Genomic DNA, 24,585 nt, shown 5'->3' with positions numbered 1-24,585 from the left:
AAATAAAGAAGTAACTTGGTGGGCATCTGGAAAAAACACCCAAACTGTATCCCAGGCTGGGGTGCAGGAGCCTATCGAGAGGGCTGGGTGGTGTGGACAGCGTGATGAAGAAGGTCAAGTTCCTTGTACTCACTCGTTTGCTGTTTCATTCACAATTCCTGTGAGGTGGGAGCTCTCACCATCCTTGGGTCTTGCTTAAGAGTAAGGAGTGGGGCAACCTAGAGATACATGAACATCAAGGAGAAATGGGGAGGGAGTTTCACATGAGCTATTTTTACAAGATTAAGTAATGGGATAAAATTTAAAAGGGGAATTTAAGAGGAATTTTGGGCAGTTTTGAGAAACAGGAAATTTGAGGAAAGCTGAGAAAGAGAAGATCTGGAGTAAGTCTCTGTGATGAGAAGATTCCACCCCGCACTCCTGTTCTGGGTGGCCTTGGCTCCTGACTCCCTTTCTTCTGAAACTGCCTGGAGCCAGGGAGTAGCACAGCTGCTTCCTCCCGGGGAGAAAGGGACACCCAAAGAGCGCACTCCAGGGAGACCTTGGGCACTGCGGGCTCAAAGGCTGGAGATGGCACTTCTGTTCCCTCCTGATGGGACAGGTGCAGGGAGGCTGAGAGGATGCCACGCTGGCGAGCCTCCCTCTGAGCTGTGTTTTCTCATTGGAATTGCTGTACCCGGAGCCTCCTGCAGGTTTCCCTCGCCCTCTCCCTAAGCTCCTCTGCCTGACACAGGAGCCCGGGGAGAATCTGTCAGGCATGAAATGTAGCGAGGCAAGGAGGGTGATCAGCACCTCCCACGGGGGAGTTCGTTTCGAAGTAACAATCAAAGATCCAGAGCCGGACCCAGGCAGGGAGGCAAGGCCTGGAAGCCCCTGTGCCTCCAGGCCCCTAGGACGCTCGGGGGAGGGGGAGGGGGAGGGTGGGACCTGAAGTTGTTGTGACCGAAGGGAAATGAGTCAGGGAAAGAAATGCCATGCTTTAATTTTTGTGGATGAAGGAGGGAACAGGCCGCCAGACCACAAAATAACACCCGGCCGACTAACCTACTTTTAGCTGCCGAGGGCAGGATCACAGAGGAGAGGCAGATGGAAACTGGGGCTCTGGGGTCCAGGAAGATCTGAGTCTTCCGACCAAACATCATTTGCCTCCCCTCCTTCCTGCAAATATGCACATTGCCGGATCTGCTGCAGTCTATGAAAAAGGAGACAGATGTTCTGGCAGAGCGGTGGGGGGGGTGGGCGTGGAGGTTGGGTTGGGGGGCCTCTGCTTTGTGGGGAGAACCTCAGGCAGGGGAGTAGGCTCCATCCTGCGTGGAGGAACCTGAGCAGTCTAAGGCAGGCTGGCTCTATGATGTGCTGGCAATAAAATCCCAATGGCTTCCGCTGCAGAAGTCCAAGAGGACATGACTGCGGCTCCATCTAGTCAAGCCCAGGGCAGGAATTCCCTTCCAGGAAACCAAGCCAGAGCGCTGTGGTCTCTGGGCTGCCAAGATGTCTCAGAAATGGTCTAGCCCTTCAGCCCACAGAAATCTCTGGGCAAAATTATCTCCCAGCATTGACAGACGAATGGATAAACAAAATGTGTTCTATCCCACAGTGGAGTATTATTCAGCTTTAAAAAGGAAGGAAAAATGCTGGGCGCGGTGGCTCACGCCTGATCCCAGCACTTTGGGAGGCTGAGGAAGGAGGATCATTTGTGCCCAGGAGTTCGAGACTAGCCTGGACAACATAGAGAAACCTTGTCTCTACACACACACACACACACACACACACACACACACACACACACTCTCTCTCTCTCTCTCTCTCTCTCTCAGCCAGGCACAGTGGCACATGCCTGAAGTCCCAGCTCTGGGAAGCTGAGGCAGGAGGATCTCTTGAGCCTGGTGGGTCAAGGCTGCAGTGAACCATGTTCATGCCACTGCACTCCAGTCTGGATGACAGAGCGAGACCTAGTCTCAAAAAAAAAAAAAAAAAAAAGAAAGAAGAAAGAAGAAAGGAAAAAGAAAAAAAGGCAGCGGGGGCGCGGTGGCTCACGCCTGTAATCCCACCACTTTGGGAGGCCAAGGCGAGCGGATCACGAGGTCAGGAGATCGAGACCATCCTGGCTAACACGGTGAAACCCCGTCTCTACTAAAAATACAAAAATTAGCCGGGCGTGGTGGCAGGCGCCTGTAGTCCCAGCTACTCAGGAGGCTGAGACATGAGAATGGCATGAACCCGGGAGGCGGAGCTTGTAGTGAGCCGAGATCACACCACTGCACTCCAGCCTGGGCGACAGAGCGAGACTCCATCTTAAAAGAAAAAAAAAAAAAGGACATGCTACAGCATGGATGCACCTTGAAGACATTTGCAAAGTGAAACAAACCAGTCGCAAAAGAAGAAACACTGTCTCATTCCACTTCTAGGATGTATGTAGAGCAGTCAGGTTCATACAGACAGAAAGTAGCAGCGTGGCTGCTGGGGAAAAGGGGAATGGGGAGTTATTCTTTAATGGCTACAGAGTTTCAGTTAGGGGTGATGGAGAAGTTCTGGAGATGGGCGGTGGTGACGGCCGGCCGCACAGCAATATGACGTGCTTAATGCCACTGAACTGTGCACTGAACATCGTTAAGGTGGTAAATTTTGTGTTATATATATTTTGCAACAATAAAAAATATGTAGTTTCTAGAATCCTCTTCTAGATGCATGTCTGGCGTTTCTGCCGCGGGGCTGGCACTGGAGGAAGCCAGACAGGACAACATTGCGGCTTATCCTCCTCTGTTGCCATCATGGACCTCTCGCACCCCGTGATCAAGCTGTTTTTTCTCTCCTTCCAGAATTTAAGGGACGCTGTGAAGCAATCATGGATGCAATGAAGAGAGGGCTCTGCTGTGTGCTGCTGCTGTGTGGAGCAGTCTTCGTTTCGCCCAGCCAGGTTGGTGTGCAGGATCCCTGTGTCCCGCCCCTCAAGGCTGTGATGCTTCCGGAGGCTCCAGGGGTCTGTGTCCATCTGGGCCACGGAGGTTGGAATGCTGTCAGGGAGCAGAGAGGCACAGGGACGAGGGGCTGGCATTGCTGTGGAGCACACAGCACACACTCCCTTCTGTACAGCAAACTCTGTATTTGGGGGCCCAGTGTGTAGCTGGGCCCTAGGCACTTATTTTGACCTGAGTAAGCGGAATTAACATGCCACTCCCTGCCTGTGACTGCCTTTTTTTGCAGCTGTTTTTAAAGAATGTATTCAAATTAATCCATAAAGTACAGTTGTCCCTCATATCTATGGGGTATTTGTTCCAGGACCCCCAAGGATACCAAAATCCAGGGATACTCAAGTTCCTCATATAGAATGGTGTAGAGTTTGCATATCCTATGCACACCCTCCTGTATACTTTAAATCATCTCTAAATTACTTATAATACCTAGTACAATGTTAATGCTATGTAAATGGTTGTTATAAGGTATTTTTTAATTTGTGTTATTTTTATTGTTGTATTATTTATTTATATATTTTTTGGAAACAGGGTCTCACTCTGTCACCCAGGCTGGAGTGCAATGGCACAATCATAGCTCACTGCAGCACCAAACTCCTAGGCTTAAGCCTTGGCCTCCCAAAACTCTGGGGTTACAGGTGTGAGCCACAAGCCCAGCTTATATTATTATTTTTTATTTTTCTGTTTTGGTTGAATCCACAGATATGGAACCTGCAGATATACAAAGTGGACTGTATTTATAAAAGACAATGCAGGACAGGGCACAGTGACTCACACCTGTAATCTCAGCACTTTGGGAGGCCGAGGTGGGAGGATCGCTTGAGCCCAGGAGTTGGAGACCAGTCTGGGCAATATAGTGAGATGCTGTCTCTACAAAAAATTTAAAAATTAGCCGGGTGTACTAGTATGCACCTGTGGTCCCAGCTACTCAGGAGGCTGAGGCGGGAGGATCGCTTAAGTTCAGGAGGTTGGGACTTCAGTGAGATATGATTACGCCAATGCACTCCAGCCTGGGTGACAAACTGAGATCCTGTCTCAAAAAAAAAAAAAAAAAAAGAAAAAGGCAATGCAAGTGCCATGAGCCACAGCAGAGGCAAACTGCCCTCATGGTGCCTACTCTCTAGCTGAGATGGAAGCGCTACACACACTCTCTGAAAATGCCTAGCAATAAAGGGCCTCACGGAAGTCCAAACTAACCACACCTCTCCCACAGGACCCTACAGCGGGGAGAGCCAGGTGACTGCGTGGAGTAGACAGCCAGCTGCAACTCCATTGCCCAATATGGTGGCCACTTACCTTGTGCAACTGTTTAAATTTAAAATAATTAAAGTTAAAAATTGTTTCTCAGTCCCACTGGCCACATTCAAAGCACTCGGTGGCCCTGTGTGGCTTCTGTCGTGGACAGCACAGACAGAAAACATTTCCACCAAGCAGAAAGCTCTTCTGGACAGAGCCAGTCAGGAAGGAGAGGAAGAATTGGACTAGAAGGCAGGAGATGGACTTTCACTTGGGCCAGTTACCCGAGGGGGTCTCTGAGCAGAGGTATCTGGCCGGCAGGTTCACATGGGCTTCTGGGTTGGCCGCCTTTACTCTTAGTACACCTGGCATGTGCTGATCCTTCCTCCACCTCTGGTTTCTTCGCAGGAAATCCATGCCCGATTCAGAAGAGGAGCCAGATCTTACCAAGGTCGGGTGAAGCTGAGGGGTGCATGGGGTCATCAGGGAGGGAGGCAGGGCGGGGTGCAGGGTGCATCACCCACCCACCACCTGCCTTCTTCCACCCACCACCTGCCTACGGTGTGACAGTGCCATTGCAGCATGATTCTACAGAGATGCCTGTGTCGGCACCATTCTCCCATCAGCTGCGGCCACTGGGCGGGTTCTGATTCTGAGGGGAGCAGAAACAGGTGTTCCCCCCCAAGGAGCCAGGCTGTCAGGGATCACAACCTAGCGGGGGCTGGGGGGGGCGGCCACTGGCCCAAGGTCCTGGTTATACAGATCAAAAGGCAGAGCCCAGGAGAGAGCAAGTGGCTTGCCCAGGGTCACACAGCCGCCAGCAGCACGGCCAGGGCAGTCACAGCCGAGGCCAGGCCCATGCTCTGGGTCTCATCCTAGGCTGTGATCCCACCACAGTGCACCGGCAGCTTTGGTAACAACATCCCTGTGTATCCATTTCCCTCTGTTGATCCAACCGGGATGTCCCAACTGGGATGTCCCACCCAGGCAACCCCTCGACATGGTGGGGTCTCTAAGTCCACATCTAGAGTTGACTCTAGAAGGCTGAGGAATGCGAGGCCCAGCTTCAGGTCCAAAACTACCAACTTAGGCCCTCGATTTCCCTCCTTCACGACCCAGTTCCTTCGAGTCTGGAAGACTCTGCAATACCCTTTGTGAAGGTGTTAAAAAGGGTGACTCACTCCCCAGAGCGAGTCACACCTGGACTCTTAATGCCTTCGTTGTTGGATGGCATCCTGCTTCCTACCAGGTTATCCTGGCCTCAGTGACCTCAGAAGCAGCAAGGGTCTGACTTACAGTGGGCACGTGCTACTTCTTTAATTAATTGAAAGTAAAGTTGTTGTTTTTTAAGTTGGCATTCTGGCTTGAAAACAGAAAGATGGCATGAAAATATTAATGGGAGTACTTCAACTATTTTCATTATGCCAAAAATACTTGGAGAAGTAGCACATTTTCTGCAAAGTCTAAAATGTCAATTTTCTTTGGGGCCAAAAATGCATCATTTCTGTGTGGTAATACTTATGTGGATAAAAAACTCTGGTAGACAGTTATGCATATATATATTTTTTGGTGAATTACAATGAGAAAAAGTCCAGGTGCAATGGCTCACATCTGTAACTCCAGCACTTTAGGAGGCGGATCCAGGAGGATGGCTTTAGCCCAGGAGTTCAAGACCAGCATGGGCAACATAGTGAGACACCTCTGCCTCCCCCACCCCACCCCGCCTCTACAAAAAAATTTAAAAATTAGCTGGGTGTGGTGGTGTGCACCTGTAGTCCCAGCTACTTGGGAGGTTGACGCAGGAGGACTGCTTGAGCCTGGGAGGCAGAGGTTGCAGTGAGCCAAGACAGCACCATTGGACTCCAGCCTGGGTGACAGAGACCCTCGAAAAAAAAAAAGAAAAAGAAAAGAAAAGAAAAAATTAGGCTGGGCACGGTGGCTCATGCCTGTAACCCCAGCACTTTGGGAGACCGAGGTGGGTGGATCACTTGAGATCAGGAGTTCGAGACCAGCCTGTCCAATATGGTGAAACCCCGTCCCTACCAAAAATACAAAAATTAGCCGGGCATGGTATCGGGCACCTGTAATCCCAGCTACTCGGGAGGCTGAGGCAGGAGAATCACTTGAACCCAGGAGGTGGAGGTTGCAGTGAGCCGAGATTGTGCCACTTCACTCCAGCCTGGGCGACAGAGTGAGACTTTGTTTCAAAAATAATAATAATAAATAAATAATAAATAAATAAATCATATGAGAAGATACTCAATGGCACTCAGAAAAGAAATGCAAATTTATTTTATTTTATTTTGAGATGGAGTCTTGCTCTGTCGCCCAGGCTGGAGTGCAGTGGTACAATCTCGGCTCACTGCAACCCCCACTTCCTGGGTTCAAGCAATACTCCTGCCTCAGCCTCCTGAGTAGCTGGGATTACAGGCACCTGCCACCATGCCTGGCTCATTTTTGTATTTTTAGTAGAGATAGGGTTTCACCATGTTGGCCAGGCTGGTCTCGAACTCCTGAGCTCAAGTGATTCACCCACCTCGGCCACCCAAAGTGCTGGGATTACCAGCATCAGTCACCGTGTTTGGCCAGTATTCATTATCTTGTTGTCTTCCAGTTGTGTCTCTTCAATAAGGGAGTATGCAATGGAGTCTATAGAAAGCAAGTGAGGGAGTTTTCTCAGTAGGTGCAAGGGTAGTGAGGCATTTCATTTTGAGTCATACTCTGATGAGGCTGGCCTGTCTTTTCTCATAGTGATCTGCAGAGATGAAAAAACGCAGATGATATACCAGCAACATCAGTCATGGCTGCGCCCTGTGCTCAGAAGCAACCGGGTGGAATATTGCTGGTGCAACAGTGGCAGGGCACAGTGCCACTCAGTGCCTGTCAAAAGTATGTACTGAGGCTGGGAGGTGGTGCATGCCTGTGATCCCAGCACTTTAGGAGGCCAAGGTGGGAGGGTCGCTGGAGCCCGGGAGTTCAAGACCAATCTGGGCAAACATAGCAAGTCCCCTGTCTCTACAAAAAATAAAAAAATTAGCCAGACCTGGTATGTAGTCCCAACTACTTGGGAGGTTGAGGCAGAAGGATCACTTGAGCCCAGGAGTTGGAGGCTGCAGTAATCTACGATTGTGCCACTGCATTTCAACCTCAGTGACAGGGCAAGCCCTCACCTCTAAAACAAAACAAAACAACACAAACAAAAACAAAAACACAGAAAAGCCCAGTACAAATCGACTTCAAACTGAGACTTCGAGTTCAGGGGTCCAGTCATGAACCCTGTCTTTCATGGTCCCCGGAAAGTTCAAATCTTCAAAAGGAGCCTCCAGGCCTGTTCGGCCTTAGGCGGAGGTGAAGGTACAAGCAGAAAAGGGAGCAAGACCAAGTGACCTTGGGCAAATGCCCGCTTGCCTCAGTTTCCTCATCTATAAAGAGGTGGGAATAACAGTACACACTTCATGGTTTGCTGTGAGGATTAAATTAGCTAATTTTTGTAGACTGTACAACAGCGCCTGGCACATAGAGCACATTCTTAATATTTTAACTCACATCATCCTTGGAGCTGCTTTGAAAATACAGGGGACCCTTGAACAACACTTGTCTGACCTGCAGGGTCCACTTATGTATGGATTTTTTTCAACCAAAGGCAGGATGAAAACAGTATTTGTAGGATGCAGAACTGGTATACGCGTGTTCCACGCTGCAGGACTTGAGTGTGTGTGGATTGTGGTAGACAGGGCTCCTGGAACCATGGCCTGAGCACACAGAAGGAGGCTGTCATTAGGGGCTTCCTTTTTTATACTTGACAGGTTGCAGCGAGCCAAGGTGTTTCAACGGGGGCACCTGCCAGCAGGCCCTGTACTTCTCAGATTTCGTGTGCCAGTGCCCCGAAGGATTTGCTGGGAAGTGCTGTGAAATAGGTGAGTAGGTGAGAGCACGTGAAACGAGCTGAAATCCCACCTCTCCAGTCTCCCCCGCCCCCGGAAGGAAAGGCAGGGTGCGATGGCAGGGCCAGGGGTGGGGGCCAGGGACAGGGAAGGCGCTTCTGCCATGGGTCAGGAAGCACAGTGCCACACAGCAAGCAGAGCCTAGGTGTGACCCTGAATCCAGGCTGGCACCCTTGCCACCCAGCCTGTGGCTTCCGAGCCAGCCTGCATCAGGCCTGGGGGAGGACGGGGCAGAGAGGGGAGCCTCCTGAGGGCTGAATGAAAGGGGACTCCCATGTGAGGCATCCATGCCCTGCTCTCTGTCAGATACCAGGGCCACGTGCTACGAGGACCAGGGCATCAGCTACAGGGGCACGTGGAGCACAGCGGAGAGTGGCGCCGAGTGCACCAACTGGAACAGCAGCGCGTTGGCCCAGAAGCCCTACAGCGGGCGGAGGCCAGACGCCATCAGGCTGGGCCTGGGGAACCACAACTACTGCAGGTGAGGGCACATCCCCAAGGAGGGATTCCCCCTGTGAGAAGCTGCTACAGCTGGGGAAAGATTCTGTCAGATCCGTCAGGGTTCTCCCAAGAAACATAACCAATACAGGATGGATAGATGGATAGATGATAGACAGATAATAGATGATAGGTGATAGATGATAGATTGATAGATGATAGATGATAGGTGATAGATTAGATAAATAGATGATACATACATGATAGATAGATGATAAATAGACGGTAGATGGATGACAGATAGACAGATGATAGGTGATAGATAGATGATAGATTGATAGATGATTGATAGATAAATAGATGATAGATACATAGATGATAGATGGTAGATAGATGATAGATGGATAGATGATAGATGATAGGTGGTAGATGATAGACAGATGATTAGAAAGATAGATGATAGATACATAGATGATAGACACATAGATGATAGACAGATTGACAGATGATAGATGATTGATAGATGATTAAATAGATGATACATAGATGATAATGATAAATAGATGATAGATGATAGATGATAGGTGATAGATAGATTGATAGATGATAGAAGATTGATAGATGATAGATACATAGGTGATAGTAGATGTAAGATGATAGATGATAGATAGATAGATGATAGACAGATTGATAGATGATAGAGAGATAGAGATAGAGAAAGAGGAGAGAGAAATAGAGAGAGAGAGAGAATGTGTGTGAACCCAAAGTATCTGAGACAGGTCTCAATCGATTTAGAAAGTTGATTTTGCCAAGGTTAAGGACACCCCCGTGACACAGCCTCAGGAGGTCCTGAGGACATGTGCCCAAGGTTGTCAGGGCACAGCTTGCCTTTAGACGTTTTAGGGAGTCATGAGACATCAATCAACATGTGTGAGATGTACATCGGTTTGGTCGGGAAAGTTGGGATAACTCGAAGCAAGGGCTTCCAGGCCATAGGTAGATAAGAGACAAAAGGCTGTATTCTGAGTCCTTGATCAGCTTTTCACTGAACACACAATTGAGTCTGGCTCAGTTCATCTGCATTTTTACATAAAAAATAGGGCAGAGGAAGCAATCAGATACGCATTTGTCTCAGATGAGCAGAGGGATGATTTTCTGTCCTGCACCTGGGAAGATAAGCTATCCATTTACAATGCCAAGGTGAAAGTCAACAGAACTGTTTTAGGGTAAAGATCTTTAGGCCTGCAAGGAATGTCCTTGTAGAGAATTAAAAAAAAAAAAAAAAAACTTTGCAGCTATCTTATTGAGGAATAAATGAGAGGCAGGTTTGCCTGACGTAGTTCCCGGCTTGACATTTCCCTTGGCTCATGACGTTGGGGTCCTGAGATTTATTTTCCTTTCACACTAGATAGATAGACATTTATGTTAAGGAACTGGCTGACAGGATCGTGGGGGCTGGCAAGTCCGAAACATCTTGGTAAGCCAGGCTGGAAGTGCAGGCAGAAGCTGAGGCTGCTCTCTTAAGGCAGAATTTCTTATTCAGGAAACCTCATATTTGCTCTTAAGGCCTTTAAGTGATTGGACGAGGCCCAACTACATTATCTAGGACAATTTCCTTTTCTAAAGTCAACTGGCTGTAGATATTAACCACATCTATAAAACACTTTCACAACTCCTAGATGAATGTTTGGTTAACTGACTGGGTGCCACAGCCTGGCCAAGTTGACATATAAGACTATTCCAGTCCACACCTTGTCAATTTGGCACCCATGTGCATCTCCTTAAACCATCCTTCACCTCCAAGTAAACACAGGAACAAAATCATACTCCTGCCTAACATGATAGAACTACCAGTGTACAACCAAAAACGCACTCCCGGCTGGGCGTGGTGGCTCACGCCTGTAATCCCAGCACTTTGGGAAGCCAAGGCAGGTGGATCACCTGAGGTCAGGAGTTCAAGACCAGCCTGGCCAACATGGTGAAACCCTGTCTCTACTAAAAATACAAAAATTAGCCAGGCATGGTGGCAGGCACCTGTAATCCCAGCTACTCGGGAAGCTGAGGCTGAAGAATTGCCCAAATCCAGGAAACGGAGGTTGCAGTGAGAGGAGATGCGCCGCTGCACTCCAGCCTGGGATAAACAGCGAGACTCTGTCAAAAAAAAAAGCACCCCCCATTCCTCCAGAAAAGGATACCAAAGTCCTTGGGTCCTAAAGGAGAGGCTTCACCTTTGACCTACCCTGGCCCTTCCCTTGGCTGATTTTTCAGAAACCCAGATCGAGACTCAAAGCCCTGGTGCTACGTCTTTAAGGCGGGGAAGTACAGCTCAGAGTTCTGCAGCACCCCTGCCTGCTCTGAGGGTAAGTGGCAGCCACCCCGCCTTTCCCTGAATGTCCCTGGGGGAGGAAAGTCCAGGAGGACAGGCCGATAGCCCTCCTGCACCTGAGGGGAGAAAGGGGGAGGCCAGGAGTGAGTCATTTTGGTTGCAGAGGGAAGAAAGACAGGACTTAGGTCTGTGCCTGGGCTTGGCCTCTGACTGGCTATTTGTCTGACCTGGAGCTGATCTCCTCACACTCTGACCCTCAATTTCCTCCTCTATGGAGGAGAGGATGGGGCTGAATCAGTGGTTTTCAGTCCTTTTGAGAATGAATGGAGATTCTCCCTTTTTTGATTAATGGGTGAATGGGGCTTTGTCTCTCTTTCGCTCCCTCTCAAACTTTTTAATGCAAAAAAAAAAAAAAAAAAACTTCCAAGATTGAAAAAATATATATTAAGTTACAAGACCAGGCACAGTGGCTTATGCCTATAAACCCAGCACTCTGGGAGGCTGAGGCGGGCGGCTCACCTGAGGTCAGGAGTTTGAGACCAGCCTGGCCAACATGGTGAAACCCTGTCTCTACTAAAAATACAAAAATTAGCCGGATACGGTGGCAGGCACCTGTAATCCCAGCTACTCAGGAGGCTGAGGCAGGAGAATTGCTTGAACCTGGGAGATGGAGGTTGCAGTGAGCCGAGATCATGCCACTGCACTCCAGCCTGGGTGATAGAACAAAAAACTGTTTCAAAAAAAAGAAAAAAATGAAATGCTAAGTTACAGAAAGGTACTATGAATTCAGTGGTGCTTATACAAATCATTACGTTACTTATCACATTTATCACAGCACTATGAAAGATTTTTTTTAAGTTCTAAATATATATAGGGCCAGGTGCAGTGGCTCGTGTCTATAATCCCAGCACTTTGGGAGGCTGAGGCGGGAGAACTGCTTGAGCCCAGGAGTTTGAGACCAGCCTGGGCAACAAAGTGAGACTCCATCTCTACAAAAAATACAAAAATTAGTCAGGTGTGGTGGCTTGTGCCTATGGTCCCAGCTGCTTGGGAGGCTCAGGTGGGAGGATCGCTTGAGCCCAGGAGGTTGAGGCCACAGTGAGCAATGATTGTGCCACTGCACTCCAGCCTGGGTGACAGTGAGATCCTGCCTCAAAATAAATACATAAATATGTGTGTGGGTGTGTGTATATATATATGTAATACACATATATTAAATTTATATATGATATATATAAACACGCACCAGCTATATGCATTCAGCACCCAGGTCCACGGGTGATGCCTGTGACTCTGAAGACTTTACAGTCACTCTACAATATCCTCCCCATCCCCCATGGTCTGGTCTAAATGAGGACTCGCAGATCTAGATAATCTTGAAAATCCCTTCCATTTATGGTATTTATGTATAGAGGTATGCTTTGTCAGTTTCAGGTCGGGAGAAAAAAATGGAAAAATGGGGGAAATAAATGAAAACAGGCAGCACTCCACGGCTCATACCCTCCTCCTTCCCAAGCCCATCATCAGATCCTCAGGACACTGGCAGACACAGTCCGAGAAATAACCCCCACCCCAGCCCCACTGAAGCACGTTGGTTCACTGCAGCCTGTTAAGTAACACAAGGAAACCCCTACTGGCTTTCAAAGCAGCTTCAGAAACAGCCCCCACTCATGGAAGTGGTTCTTCCTGCTGAACCTGAAGATGTCCCCAGACTCTCTCTCAACATAGCAATCTAGGGAGCCACTTCCGGTGGAGATGAAACCCCCTTGCCATCTCTAAGTAAAAGGACTCAAAGAGGGGGAAAAAGGCTCAGGCCGGGCGTGTTGGCTCACACCTGTACTCCCAGCACTTTGGGAGGCTGAGGCGGGCAGATCACCTGATGTTAGGAGTTCAAGACCAGCCTGGCCAACATGGTGAAACCCTGTCTCAACTAAAAATACAAAATTAGCGTAGCATGGTGGCGCATGCCTGTAACCCCACCTACTCGGGAGGCTGAGGTAGAAGAATCGCTTGAACCCAGGAGGTGGAGATTGCAGTGAGCCAAGATCGCGCATTGCACTCCAGCCTGGGCAACAAAAGGGGAAGTGTGAGGTGTTACACTCTTCTCAGTGCCGGGCTAGCGGCCTCCAGCTTCCTCGACCGGCAGCTCCGCTTCAAGCCCCAGCCCTGACTTGCGTGCTTCAGAATTTGTTTTTGTTTCAGTTTGAGAATTCTTTTCTTCTAGGAAACAGTGACTGCTACTTTGGGAATGGGTCAGCCTACCGTGGCACGCACAGCCTCACCGAGTCGGGTGCCTCCTGCCTCCCGTGGAATTCCATGATCCTGATAGGCAAGGTTTACACAGCACAGAACCCCAGTGCCCAGGCACTGGGCCTGGGCAAACATAATTACTGCCGGTAGGTAGCACAGGGGTGGGGGGTTCAGGTCTTGGCAGAACGTGGGATTAGGGTGTGAGACGGGGGAAGATCCAATGTCTCAAGTTGCATGACAGACCCAGTGCGTGGGAAGCACCCATGGATATTATCTAATCCAACCTCTTCACTTGCTAGAATAACACATATTGTGAAAAGCAAGGTCTACCAGTTTTCCAACCTAAATCCCAAGTTAAGGGTCCTGGCCTGTAACCATTTAGTCCTCAGCTGTTCTCCTGACATCTTTATTGCAATGATTTGTAAGAGTTCCGTAACAGGACAGCTCACAGTTCTGTCTGACAACCCTATGAGATTAGAACACTACATTACTGACTGGGTAACAAAGTTAAAGAGAAGTTCTCCTAGGGTGGGGGTGTGCTGCAAGGTCAAGATGAACTCGGTGTCCTCCCTCCCAGCTCAGTGGTTTTCATTGGTTGACTGAGTCTCCTTCTACTCTTACATGGCCTGTGATGTGGCTGAAAATGGGATTGAAAATCTTAAACTCCTGGCCTGGTGTGGTGGTGCATGCCTGTAATCCCAGCACTTTGGGAGGCTGAGGCAGGAGGATTGCTTGAGCCCAGGAGTTCAAGACCAGCCTGGGCAACATGGCAAGACCCCATCTCTACAAAAATTAAAAAATAAGAAGATAAAAAGGAAACCTTAAACTCTCTTATCATTTAGGAATCCTGATGGGGATGCCAAGCCCTGGTGCCACGTGCTGAAGAACCGCAGGCTGACGTGGGAGTACTGTGATGTGCCCTCCTGCTGTAAGGGCTGGGCCCCGGCTGCCTCCCTGCACCTGGTCTCCCTTCTTCACCATCTCCTCGCCACTTTCTAGGCCTTCATGGCTGTCTGGTGCAGACTGTGTGCCTACCAGACTTCCAGGCTGGGTGGGGAGGGGGCTTCCATGACTGAAGCCACGGTGGGTGGGCGGGTGTCCATGACCCATGCATGGGGGTGGTGGGGAGGGGCAAGAAGAAAGAAAAGAACACAGCAACCTCTCTGAGAAGTCAGTAGGCTCTACCCGGCTCTCTCTAGACGCCTCTATTGGTGTTGCTGAGAGTAATGGGGAATGAGGAGGAGGCCTCGCATGCATGGCTCCTTAGATAATAAAGTGCCTTCACCACATTTGTCCAACAGCGTGGTGGAGGTGGTCTTCCTACCTCCAGTTTACTGAGTAGGAAGCAGTCTCCCAGACGCCAGGTGGCCTGCCCAAGCTCGCTGGGCACCGGGAGGTAAAGCTAGGGCCTGCCCTCATGCCCTCTGACCCCAATGGCATGTACTTCCACTGTGAGATCTTCCACGTTTCCTGTTGACCTATTTCACACAGGGGAGCTGGCTCATGATGTGGGTGAGAGATAGGAGATTCAAGTTGGTGCATATTGCTAAAAAATGAAACTTTAGTTTGGAAATGGCCAGAGAGTAGGTTATTAATCACCTCCTGTGAACACAGATCAGCCAGAATGTTCCCCAAGGAACACAAGTCCAACTGGGACGATGAGACACAGACCACCAGCTAACTCACACCCAAGGGCATTAGTGTGAGTCCTCAGTGGTCCGTGTCCCTAAGCTCCTCAGAGCTGAGCAGGTGGGGACGTCAGGAAAGCTTTGCGAGGAGGCAGGATTGCACCTGGGCCTTGAAGCATGGGTAAGGTTGGACAGATGGAAAAGAAATGAGCAGACATTCCACAGAAGGAAGCTGCAATTCTTCATTTCTTAGGCCAGGAAATGGCTGTAGGAAAACATTAGAAGGAATGAAGGATGGCAGATCCCCAGTTTTGGAGTCAAACATACTTGGGAACTAATCCAGGTGCCATTGCAACCTTGGGCAAAAACGTCTCCGCCTCCTGAAACTTATCGCTGTGGGAACTAAAGAGAATGTATGGACAACATTCGGCATGCTGATCCCACCAAGTGAAAGTTGTGGTTTTACAGCCATGCTGATGGCCTCCTCACTCTACCTACACACGTGCAGGAGGCCTGTGGGACTGACTGCCTCCTCGTCCTTTCCTCCCCAGCCACCTGCGGCCTGAGACAGTACAGCCAGCCTCAGTTTCGCATCAAAGGAGGGCTCTTCGCCGACATCGCCTCCCACCCCTGGCAGGCTGCCATCTTTGCCAAGCACAGGAGGTCGCCCGGAGAGCGGTTCCTGTGCGGGGGCATACTCATCAGCTCCTGCTGGATTCTCTCTGCCGCCCACTGCTTCCAGGAGAGGTAGGGGCTCGGAAACCCAGTTGGTTTTTCCACCCTCTAACGCCTAGAAACCAAGCCCTTTAGGGGAAATCCCACAGCAAAAAAAGCATTCTAAGGCTGTTTCTCCACCAGGTTTCCGCCCCACCACCTGACGGTGATCTTGGGCAGAACATACCGGGTGGTCCCTGGCGAGGAGGAGCAGAAATTTGAAGTCGAAAAATACATTGTCCATAAGGAATTCGATGATGACACTTACGACAATGACATTGGTAAGAGCTCGTCATTCCCGGCTCCAGTTCATACAGATCACACAACACACCCACATGCACTCACCTATGTTTACACACACGGGCCTCCTCCTCCAGCCCCTGCCCCTCCTGCGTGTTCCTCCCCTCCCGGGGACGCGGCCCTCACGCCAGCTCACTCCTCCTTTCTCCCTCCCAGCGCTGCTGCAGCTGAAATCGGATTCGTCCCGCTGTGCCCAGGAGAGCAGCGTGGTCCGCACTGTGTGCCTTCCCCCGGCGGACCTGCAGCTGCCGGACTGGACGGAGTGTGAGCTCTCCGGCTACGGCAAGCATGAGGCCTGTAAGTGGAAGGAAGTCTCGGCCCCATCCTGTCTGCGGGACAGCAGGGGAGGCTGCGGTCCACCAGAGGAAAATGGGGTCAGGAGACCGAAGTTCCAGCCCCGGGTCAGGCACTGACGCCAGTCCCGTCTCCCTGTGTCGTGGGGGCCCGTCTCTGCTGTCTCTGCCTCACAGGGACACTGCAGGCCAGGAAAGGACACAACAGTATGAGGGCCTCGAAGTGCTGCAGGTGTTGGGAAGGTTCTGAGTAGGAAGTGGAGTACAGTCGCTAAGCGTGTGGGTTCTGGGAAGCTGGAGTTACAAAGACCCGATTTCAAATCCCACTTGCTGAGCTGTGTGACCGTGGACATGGATTTTTATTTTGAACTGCTCCCAGCCTCAGTTTCCTCGTTGGTAAAGTGGAGATAGAACTATCTCCCTAATTAGATTAGGAGGGTTAAATGAGATAATATTGAACGAATGGATGTCAGCTGGGGTGATTTTGTCCCCCAGGAAACGTTTGGCGAGGTCTGGAGACGTTTTTGGTTGTTACAGTTTAGGGTGAGGGTTAACGCCGGCCTTCAGTGAGTGCAGCCAGGGATGCTGCACACTGCAGGGCTCGGGACTGTCCCCATCCCCCACAACAGGGACCTCCCTGGTCCGAAGCATCAGCAGTGCCACTACGGAGAGGCTGTGGGTTCAATCCCGGAATCCTGCTGTTTTTGTGGGTCAAAACGATAAAATACCAGCAGTGTCATAGGATTCGACCTAATACATGTTGAATCTTGATCAATGTTAGCTATTATTGGAAAATTTGGCTTTCTCTTTCAAAAACGTTTATAAATAACTTTCCCTAAAACCATATGATGGTTCTCCCCTTTCAGTGTCTCCTTTCTATTCGGAGCGGCTGAAGGAGGCTCATGTCAGACTGTACCCATCCAGCCGCTGCACATCACAACATTTACTTAACAGAACAGTCACCGACAACATGCTGTGTGCTGGAGACACTCGGAGCGGCGGGCCCCAGGCAAACTTGCACGACGCCTGCCAGGTAACCAGGAGTGGCGCGCCCATGCTGGGCACAACCCAGGGGAGAATGCCCCTGGGACAACAGGTTCTTCACCAAAGAAAAAAGTTATCACCAGAGTGGAGTGATTTCCTCTTAGTGATACCCCTGGGGATTCTAGATGAGGGCCTCACAGAATAAAGCAACTGGAGGAAGATCAAAGTCACCTAAACCTAAGAATTCTAAACTGCAGGAAATTTCCCCAGGATCTGCACAGGCAACTCCACCTGTACAGGATTTCCTTTCAGCCCAGGCAATTGATTGACTATTGAAGTGATGGAGAGAGCCACACAATTAAGAAACGTTTGCCTCAGCCTGGTGTGGTGGTTCACGCCTGTAATCCCAGCACTTTGGGAGGCTGAGGTGGGAGGCTCACCTGAGGTCAGGAGTTCGAGACCAGCCTGACCAACATGGAGAAACCCCATCTCTACTAAAAATACAAAATTAGCCTGGCATGGTGGCACATGCCTGTAATCCCAGCTACTCAGGAGGCTGAGGCAGGAGAATCGCTTGAACCCGGGAGGCAGAGGTTGCAGTGAGCCGAGATCGCGCCATTGCGCTTCAGCCTGGGCAACAAGAGCGAAACTCGATCTCAAAAAAAAAAAAAAAAAAAAAAAGAAAGAAATGTTTGCCTCTGTTGGCACTAGAGAATTGGAGTCTGCTTTGTAGAAGGAGAAGGAAGAAAGGCAACTTACTGGGAAGCAGGATCTAGATGATGTGAGAAAGAAGTTTTCAAAACTCACATTCAGCCCTAATACCCTGGGAAAGCACACTATTTGAGGTCCTTTGTGTGGGCATCCTTATCAGAATTAGTACTTATATTTCATGATTAGCCAGATACTGGGGTATGGGAGGACAGGCCAGCCTGCTGGTATTAAGACCTGCACAGAGCCAAGGAATTGATCTTCCTCAGACATTTCAGTGCCTGCAGCGTGCGAAGCTCTCCTTTAGGGGCTGGGGGTAGAAGAGATACAAAGAGAAGTGAGGCCAGGCTCTGGTGCTGAAGGATGTGTGGGCTTTGTTTTCGCAAGGCAGTCATATCGGCGGTTTCCCCTCTGATTCCCTGACAGGATTTAGTTTCTTTTTGAATGGTTTCTTCAGCAACCTCAGCTGTACCAGCTTACAGTCCAGAAACAAAAAGGTTGTACCAAAGTGAAACCATTATCTATCTGCAAGCTTAGTTAAAAGCAAAACCAAATCATTTTAATTCAATATAAGAACAGCTAACAATTACCAAGAGTTTTACTAGATGTCTTCCAGTGCTTTTCATGCATTCTTCTACTGAATGCCATAACCACTCTATGGGTAGTATGAATATTATCTCTATGGTACAGATAAGAAAACCAAAGCATGGTTAGTCTAAGGCCATCAGCTAGTAAGTGATGGAGCCAAGCCAGGGTTTTTGAGGCCTGAAACGTTTGAGTAATTAACTCTACTTTACCAGAATAGATACAGCCTAATCCTCCATGGGACCAAGATAACTGAGATACAATCTACCCACTCTTCAGTAAGTCTCCACTTAACAGCATGCCTGGAAAAAATAGGTTCTTAGAAACTGCAACTGTAAGTGAAATGACGTATAACAAAACCAATTTTACCACCAGCTAATTGATATAAACAAGAGTTGGTCAGGTGCGGGGCTCATGCCTGTAATCCCAGCACTTTGAGAGGCTGAGGAAGGCAGATCACCTGAGGTCAGGAGTTCGAGACCAGCCTGGCCACCATGGTGAAACCCTGCCTCTACTAAAAACACAAAAATTAGCCAGGTGTGGTGGTGCGTGCCCATAAGCACGAGAATTGCTTGAACCCCGGAGGTGGAGGGTGCAGTGAGCTGAGATTGCGCCACTGCACTCCAGCCTGGGTGGGTGACAGAGTGAGACTCTGTCTCAAAACAAAAAAACAAAAAAAAACAAAAAAAGAAGAGTGAAGTTCTTGTGGCAATATTTCTAGTCATAAAAACATCAGCAAACTTCTAAATAAAGACCCAAAACACTTCTAACATTCAATATTGAAATAAATGTGAGCTATACAACATTTAAGAAAGGTTAATAAAAACAAACATGGTATTTATTTACCCAATTTTTGGAGAATAAGTGAATGATGGCGGCCATAATAGTGGTGGGTTAATTCAGGGAATAAATGTTTGCAAAGCAAAAATGGTAAGGAACACCTCTTACTACCATGAAGTTCAAAAACAATCACAAATAGGGCAGGCTCCCTGACTGCCTCCACACCTCACAGTTTATCATGCATTCGTGTATTTAGCACAGACTAGACAGATTTTTACTTTATAACACTTTGTATTCATTCATTTTCCAACGTGCTTATTCCGGTTCAGGGTCTTGGGTGGGGGTGGCCAGAGCCACCTGGCAGCTCAGGGCGCCAGGCGGGACCAGCCCTGGACAGACGCCACCATCCTATTGCAGAGCCACTAACACCCACACTCACTCAGACTGGGCCCACGTAGATACATCCTCAGTTGGCTTAATGTGCAAGCTTTGGGATGTGGAAGGAAACCGGGGTACCTGGACAAAACCCAGGCAGACAGTGTCCCCAGACAGGAATTGATTTTTGTTTTCCTCATCAAAGTTATAATGAAATGACACTGAATGGAATATTATTGAAGGGCCTGCTGTATTTTGAAGATTACGATGTTCATGCTACACATACTGACTTTCTCCAGATAGTCTGCTTTTTTTGCAAACGCCAAACCTGCTATCTCCTTTGCAGGGCGATTCGGGAGGCCCCCTGGTGTGTCTGAACGATGGCCGCATGACTTTGGTGGGCATCATCAGCTGGGGCCTGGGCTGTGGACAGAAGGATGTCCCGGGTGTGTACACCAAGGTTACCAACTACCTAGACTGGATTCGTGACAACATGCGACCGTGACCAGGAACACCCGACTCCTCAAAAGCAAATGAGATCCCGCCTCTTCTTCTTCAGAAGACACTGCAAAGGCGCAGTGCTTCTCTACAGACTTCTCCAGACCCACCACACCGCAGAAGCGGGACGAGACCCTACAGGAGAGGGAAGAGTGCATTTTCCCAGATACTTCCCATTTTGGAAGTTTTCAGGACTTGGTCTGATTTCAGGATACTCTGTCAGATGGGAAGACATGAATGCACACTAGCCTCTCCAGGAATGCCTCCTCCCTGGGCAGAAAGTGGCCATGCCACCCTGTTTTCAGCTAAAGCCCAACCTCCTGACCTGTCACCGTGAGCAGCTTTGGAAACAGGACCACAAAAATGAAAGCATGTCTCAATAGTAAAAGATAACAAGATCTTTCAGGAAAGACGGATTGCATTAGAAATAGACAGTATATTTATAGTCACAAGAGCCCAGCAGGGCCTCAAAGTTGGGGCAGGCTGGCTGGCCCGTCATGTTCCTCAAAAGCACCCTTGACGTCAAGTCTCCTTCCCCTTTCCCCACTCCCTGGCTCTCAGAAGGTATTCCTTTTGTGTACAGTGTGTAAAGTGTAAATCCTTTTTCTTTATAAACTTTAGAGTAGCATGAGAGAATTGTATCATTTGAACAACTAGGCTTCAGCATATTTATAGCAATCCATGTTAGTTTTTACTTTCTGTTGCCACAACCCTGTTTTATACTGTACTTAATAAATTCAGATATATTTTTCACAGTTTTTCCAAAATCAGAGTGGAATGGTTTTGTTATAGATGCTGTATCCCACTCTTTATTCATGTTCACATTTTAAAATCATTTGGAATTCTGCTTCACTCGCTTAACATATACACAACACCTGTAACATACAAGGCAATGGGCTAGGTGCTCCAGACCGGGAAAAGGAGGGACAGGAATGCTTGGTCTGATGGGCTAATATGGCATTTAGAGAAGTACCAAGGTACAGTGGAGCCGGTCACAAAAGGGCAGACTTGTAGTAGAATTCAGTTGCAAGAGGGATTGGGGAATCTTAAGGAAAAAATAGAATCTTAAGGAAAAAATAACTGGGTGAGACGTGGACTGTGGACAGGTGTGGAAAAGGCACTCTCCATGGAGGTATGAATATGTAGAGGGCCAAGAGAGGGGAGTACAGGGAGAAATGAGTTGAGCTTGTCTGAAGTGAACTTCAGGAAGAGGAACATAGGCTGGAATTTAGATTATGGGGGCTCTGAACACCAAACTGAGTTTGGACTTAATTGACTTCTGTAGGCAACGAGGAGCCATGGAGATTCTGCTCAGGGAAGTGAGGAACTGGGCATGCCTTAGGAAAATTAACCAGGGGGTGGCTGGCAAGCAAGCAGACAGCAGGAAAGGAACGCTGTGGGGATAGGGAGGAAGAACCTCGCATGACCTTGCTAACACAGCAACATCCCAACCGTTGGTTCGGCCTAGAAGCTGGTATTTGGGCCATCTGTTTCCCATTGTCTTAATTTTCTGCTCATTAGAAATTGAACCCCTAAACCAGTCCACACAAGTACGTTATCTAAGTAATGTTGCATTCTGCTTCTCTTAGACTACTTTTTTTTTTTTTTTTTGAGACAGAGTCTCGCTCTTTCGCCCAGGCTGAAGTGCAGTGGCGCTATCTGCAAGCTCTGCCTCCTGGGTTCACGCCATTCTCCTGCCTCAGTCTCCCGAGTAGCTGGGACTATAGGTGCCCGCCACCATGCCCGGCTAATTTTTCATATTTGTAGTAGAGACGGGGTTTCACCGTGTTAGCCAGGATGGTCTCGATCTCCTGACCTCGTGATCCGCCTGCCTCGGCCTCCCAAGGTGCTGGGATTACAGGCGTGAGCCACTGCACCCAGCCCTCTTAGACTACTTTCTACTCGCGAGATGCAACCCCTATTCCTGGCTGCTGTCTGGCAGCTTTTGTTCTCACTGACATCCTAGTTCCAAGAATAAATCGGATGCTGCAATGCTGCTGTTGGGGATATGCTGACACAGCTCCTCAGAGAGGAGAAAGGTGGTCGTCTCTCTGGTGGAGTTGTCAGAACTGCTCAGTTTAGAGGTTCTTGGAACAAAAGTCGTTTAAACTCACAAAAGAAAGAGATTCTTTAACTCCCAAGAGCTTGACTGGGGTGGGGGAGGCAGCGGGGGACATCCCTGAAGTGTTGAAGTACCTAGGCCAGTAAATAAATGCAGGTCACAGAGACTTAAGTCACAGATTTCTTGACTTCAGACTGCTCACTTGCATGTTCTACAGTTTTTAGACAGATGTGTGTCTCAGCCATTTAAGAAAAACATTGTTTGAGGCCAGGAACGGTGGCTCATGCCTATAATCCCAGCACTTTAGGAGGCTGACGTGGGTGGATCACTTGAGGCTAGGAGTTTGAGACCAGCCTGGCCAACGTGGCAAAACCCCATCTCTACTAAAATACAAAAGTTAGCTGGGTGTGGTGGTGCACGCCTGTGGCTCCAGCTACTTGGAACACTGAGGCAGGAGAATCGCTTGAGCCTGGGAGGCAGAGGTTGCAGTGAGCTGAAATTGTGTCACTGTACTCCACCCTGGGCAACAGAGCAAGACTCTGTCAAGAAAAAAAAAGAAAGAAAGAAAGAAAAAAAAAAAAACACTGAGGACCAGTGCGAAGGAACCCCCAGCCACTGAATCTCCGGCAGAAATTCAGCTGGTTTCATCCCCTCCCCCTTTGCAGGACAAGCTCTTCTTCAGGATTAATGAAATGAACTGAGGCAGTGAGGCCCCTGGGGATGGAAATGGGAGGTAAAAAGGCCCCAGCATTCCTCCCACGCAGTCTTGGAACCACAGACTAGATAGAGACAATTGCTCAGAAGAGGCCCCTGACTGAGAGACGGGGCCCCAGCCCAGTGATGCAAATTCTAAAACACGCTCAAAGAGCAACACATCATTACCGGGAATGGGTGTCAGGGGAAATTAAATATCATCTCCTCATTATTCCCAGCTAGTTAATAAAACAAGCAGATGGTAACAGTCCAGGAGAACAAGATCTCCAGGTACCTGTGCAACTCTTCTTACTGGGTGAAAACCTAGAGGAACTCTGGGATGGTGACACTGTACCCTCCCAGAGCCCCAGTCATGTCTGTTTATCAGAAAGTGCATAAACTTTTCACTCCACTTAACTTCAAAAGCCAAAGACTCATGCAATCCTCAGTACTTAGGATCTTGGAGGAAGTTTCAGAGTTTGAAATTAAATTTCCTTTTATTTTATTTTATTTTGAGATGGAGTCTCACTCTTTTTGCCCAGGCTGGAGTGCAGTGGTGCGATCTCAGCTCACTGCAACCTCCGCCTCCCGGGTTCAAGCGATTCTCCTGCCTCAGCCTCCCCAGTAGCTGGGATTACAGGTGCCCGCCACCAGGCCCAGCTAATTTTTATATTTTTCAGTAGAGATGGGTTTTGCCATGTTGGCCAGGCTGGTCAAATTTCCTTTTAAAAATTTTAACAGGGCCAGGCGCGACGGCTCACGCCTGTAATCCCAGCACTTTGGGAGGCCAAGGCGGGTGGATCACGAGGTCAGGAGATCGAGACCATCCTGGCTAACACAGTGAAACCCCATTTCTACTAAAAAAAAAAAAAAAAAAAAAAAAAAATTAGCGGGGCACGGTGGTGGGCTCCTGTAGTCCCACCTACTCTGAGGCTGAGGCAGGAGAATGGCGTGAACCCAGGAGGCAGAGCTTGCAGTGAGCCGAAATCGCACCACTGCACTCCAGCCTGGGCGACAGAGTGAGACTCCGCCTCAAAAAAAAAAAAAAAATTCTAACAGTTGGCCAGGCGCAATGGCTCATGCCTGTAATCCCAGCACTTTGGGAGGCCGAGGCAGGCAGATCTCAAGACGAGCCTGGCCAACATAGTGAAACCCTGTCTCCACTAAAAATACAAAAAAAAAAAAAAAAAAAAATTAGCTGGGCATGGTGGTGGGCGCCCTGTAATCCTAGTTACTCGGGAGTCTGAGGCAGGAGAATCGCTTGAATCCAGGAGGCGGAGATTGCAGTGAGCCAAGATCCCGCCACTGCACACCAGCCCGGGCAACAGTGCAAGACTACGTCCCCCAAAAAAAAAAAAAAAAAAAAAATCTAACCATTAAAATAATGAGTATTGATGGCATGGAGTCCCCACCTACCGGCCACAGAGAAAAGTACATGTATACAACCAACTTCCTGTCCCACCACCAGGGTCAGAGCACCCGGGAGCACAGGCGAAGAGACAGTTGACGCCGGCTGAGAGGGAGAAGGGGTGGAGCACTAGCTGGCACTGAACACTCACAGTGAGTACGCATTGAGTTTTAAGGTTTTTTGATGGCCATGAGATGTTTATAGAAAATTGTTACAGGTGTGGCGTAACAATCGACTCGCAGTGCCTTATCTTGTAAGAAGCCTCTCCTGGAATAAAGACGCCAGAGTACTGCGACACCGTTTCATGCCTAAATTAACAAGACAAGAGAAGCAGGTCAAGAGAATGCGGAAAGCCCTAGACTAAATGCCGGCAGCTTCAACGATTTCGTCT

The 24,585-nt window shown here is 49.0% G+C and overlaps 1 protein-coding gene across 3 annotated transcripts in view, besides 10 other annotated features; it reads left to right on the top strand.

Annotated features, from left to right (window-relative positions):
* The window catches only part of PLAT (plasminogen activator, tissue type), a 32,848-nt gene extending 11,535 nt beyond the window's left edge, over positions 1-21,313 (top strand). Inside the window, exons 2-14 of one of the 3 annotated variants that reach the window (NM_000930.5) lie at positions 2,820-2,917; positions 4,617-4,659; positions 6,960-7,097; positions 8,015-8,125; positions 8,459-8,633; positions 10,859-10,950; positions 13,141-13,312; positions 14,009-14,094; positions 15,346-15,541; positions 15,653-15,789; positions 15,965-16,105; positions 16,968-17,134; positions 19,880-21,313. In NM_000930.5, coding sequence (NP_000921.1) covers positions 2,846-2,917; positions 4,617-4,659; positions 6,960-7,097; positions 8,015-8,125; positions 8,459-8,633; positions 10,859-10,950; positions 13,141-13,312; positions 14,009-14,094; positions 15,346-15,541; positions 15,653-15,789; positions 15,965-16,105; positions 16,968-17,134; positions 19,880-20,038 — 1,689 coding nt within the window. In that variant the 5' untranslated portion in view covers positions 2,820-2,845 and the 3' untranslated portion in view covers positions 20,039-21,313. The remainder of the gene's footprint in view (positions 1-2,819; positions 2,918-4,616; positions 4,660-6,959; positions 7,098-8,014; positions 8,126-8,458; positions 8,634-10,858; positions 10,951-13,140; positions 13,313-14,008; positions 14,095-15,345; positions 15,542-15,652; positions 15,790-15,964; positions 16,106-16,967; positions 17,135-19,879) is intronic. The other 2 variants (NM_033011.4, NM_001319189.2) reach the window with 2 other exon arrangements.
* Positions 7,826-8,396: an enhancer, noted in NCBI's record as "H3K27ac-H3K4me1 hESC enhancer chr8:42045153-42045723 (GRCh37/hg19 assembly coordinates)". NCBI's record gives its function as "activates a minimal SCP1, AML or CMV promoter by ChIP-STARR-seq in naive H9 embryonic stem cells {active_cell/tissue: H9 hESC(naive)}" and the evidence as "EXISTENCE:reporter gene assay evidence [ECO:0000049][PMID:30033119]".
* Positions 8,397-8,968: an enhancer, noted in NCBI's record as "H3K27ac-H3K4me1 hESC enhancer chr8:42044581-42045152 (GRCh37/hg19 assembly coordinates)". NCBI's record gives its function as "activates a minimal SCP1, AML or CMV promoter by ChIP-STARR-seq in naive H9 embryonic stem cells {active_cell/tissue: H9 hESC(naive)}" and the evidence as "EXISTENCE:reporter gene assay evidence [ECO:0000049][PMID:30033119]".
* Positions 13,056-13,335: an enhancer, noted in NCBI's record as "active region_27302". NCBI's record gives its function as "activates an Ori minimal core promoter by ATAC-STARR-seq in GM12878 lymphoblastoid cells {active_cell/tissue: GM12878}" and the evidence as "EXISTENCE:reporter gene assay evidence [ECO:0000049][PMID:35858748]".
* Positions 15,263-15,592: an enhancer, noted in NCBI's record as "active region_27301". NCBI's record gives its function as "activates an Ori minimal core promoter by ATAC-STARR-seq in GM12878 lymphoblastoid cells {active_cell/tissue: GM12878}" and the evidence as "EXISTENCE:reporter gene assay evidence [ECO:0000049][PMID:35858748]".
* Positions 15,809-16,633: an enhancer, noted in NCBI's record as "H3K4me1 hESC enhancer chr8:42036916-42037740 (GRCh37/hg19 assembly coordinates)". NCBI's record gives its function as "activates a minimal SCP1, AML or CMV promoter by ChIP-STARR-seq in primed H9 embryonic stem cells {active_cell/tissue: H9 hESC(primed)}" and the evidence as "EXISTENCE:reporter gene assay evidence [ECO:0000049][PMID:30033119]".
* Positions 22,578-22,657: an enhancer, noted in NCBI's record as "active region_27300". NCBI's record gives its function as "activates an Ori minimal core promoter by ATAC-STARR-seq in GM12878 lymphoblastoid cells {active_cell/tissue: GM12878}" and the evidence as "EXISTENCE:reporter gene assay evidence [ECO:0000049][PMID:35858748]".
* Positions 23,305-23,804: an enhancer, noted in NCBI's record as "H3K4me1 hESC enhancer chr8:42029745-42030244 (GRCh37/hg19 assembly coordinates)". NCBI's record gives its function as "activates a minimal SCP1, AML or CMV promoter by ChIP-STARR-seq in naive H9 embryonic stem cells {active_cell/tissue: H9 hESC(naive)}" and the evidence as "EXISTENCE:reporter gene assay evidence [ECO:0000049][PMID:30033119]".
* Positions 23,805-24,306: an enhancer, noted in NCBI's record as "H3K4me1 hESC enhancer chr8:42029243-42029744 (GRCh37/hg19 assembly coordinates)". NCBI's record gives its function as "activates a minimal SCP1, AML or CMV promoter by ChIP-STARR-seq in primed H9 embryonic stem cells {active_cell/tissue: H9 hESC(primed)}" and the evidence as "EXISTENCE:reporter gene assay evidence [ECO:0000049][PMID:30033119]".
* Positions 23,805-24,380: a biological region, named in NCBI's record as "Sharpr-MPRA regulatory region 3603".
* Positions 24,086-24,380: an enhancer, noted in NCBI's record as "tiled region #3603; HepG2 Activating DNase matched - State 12:CtcfO, and K562 Activating DNase unmatched - State 12:CtcfO". NCBI's record gives its function as "activates a minimal TATA promoter and a strong SV40 promoter by Sharpr-MPRA in HepG2 and K562 cells {active_cell/tissue: HepG2 | K562}" and the evidence as "EXISTENCE:reporter gene assay evidence [ECO:0000049][PMID:27701403]".

Source organism: Homo sapiens, chromosome 8 (genome assembly GCF_000001405.40).
Source record: "Homo sapiens chromosome 8, GRCh38.p14 Primary Assembly".
In the NCBI taxonomy this organism is placed as follows: Eukaryota; Metazoa; Chordata; class Mammalia; order Primates; family Hominidae; genus Homo; species Homo sapiens.
Note: the sequence above shows the minus strand (reverse complement) of the source record. Positions and strands in the feature narration are given on the sequence as shown.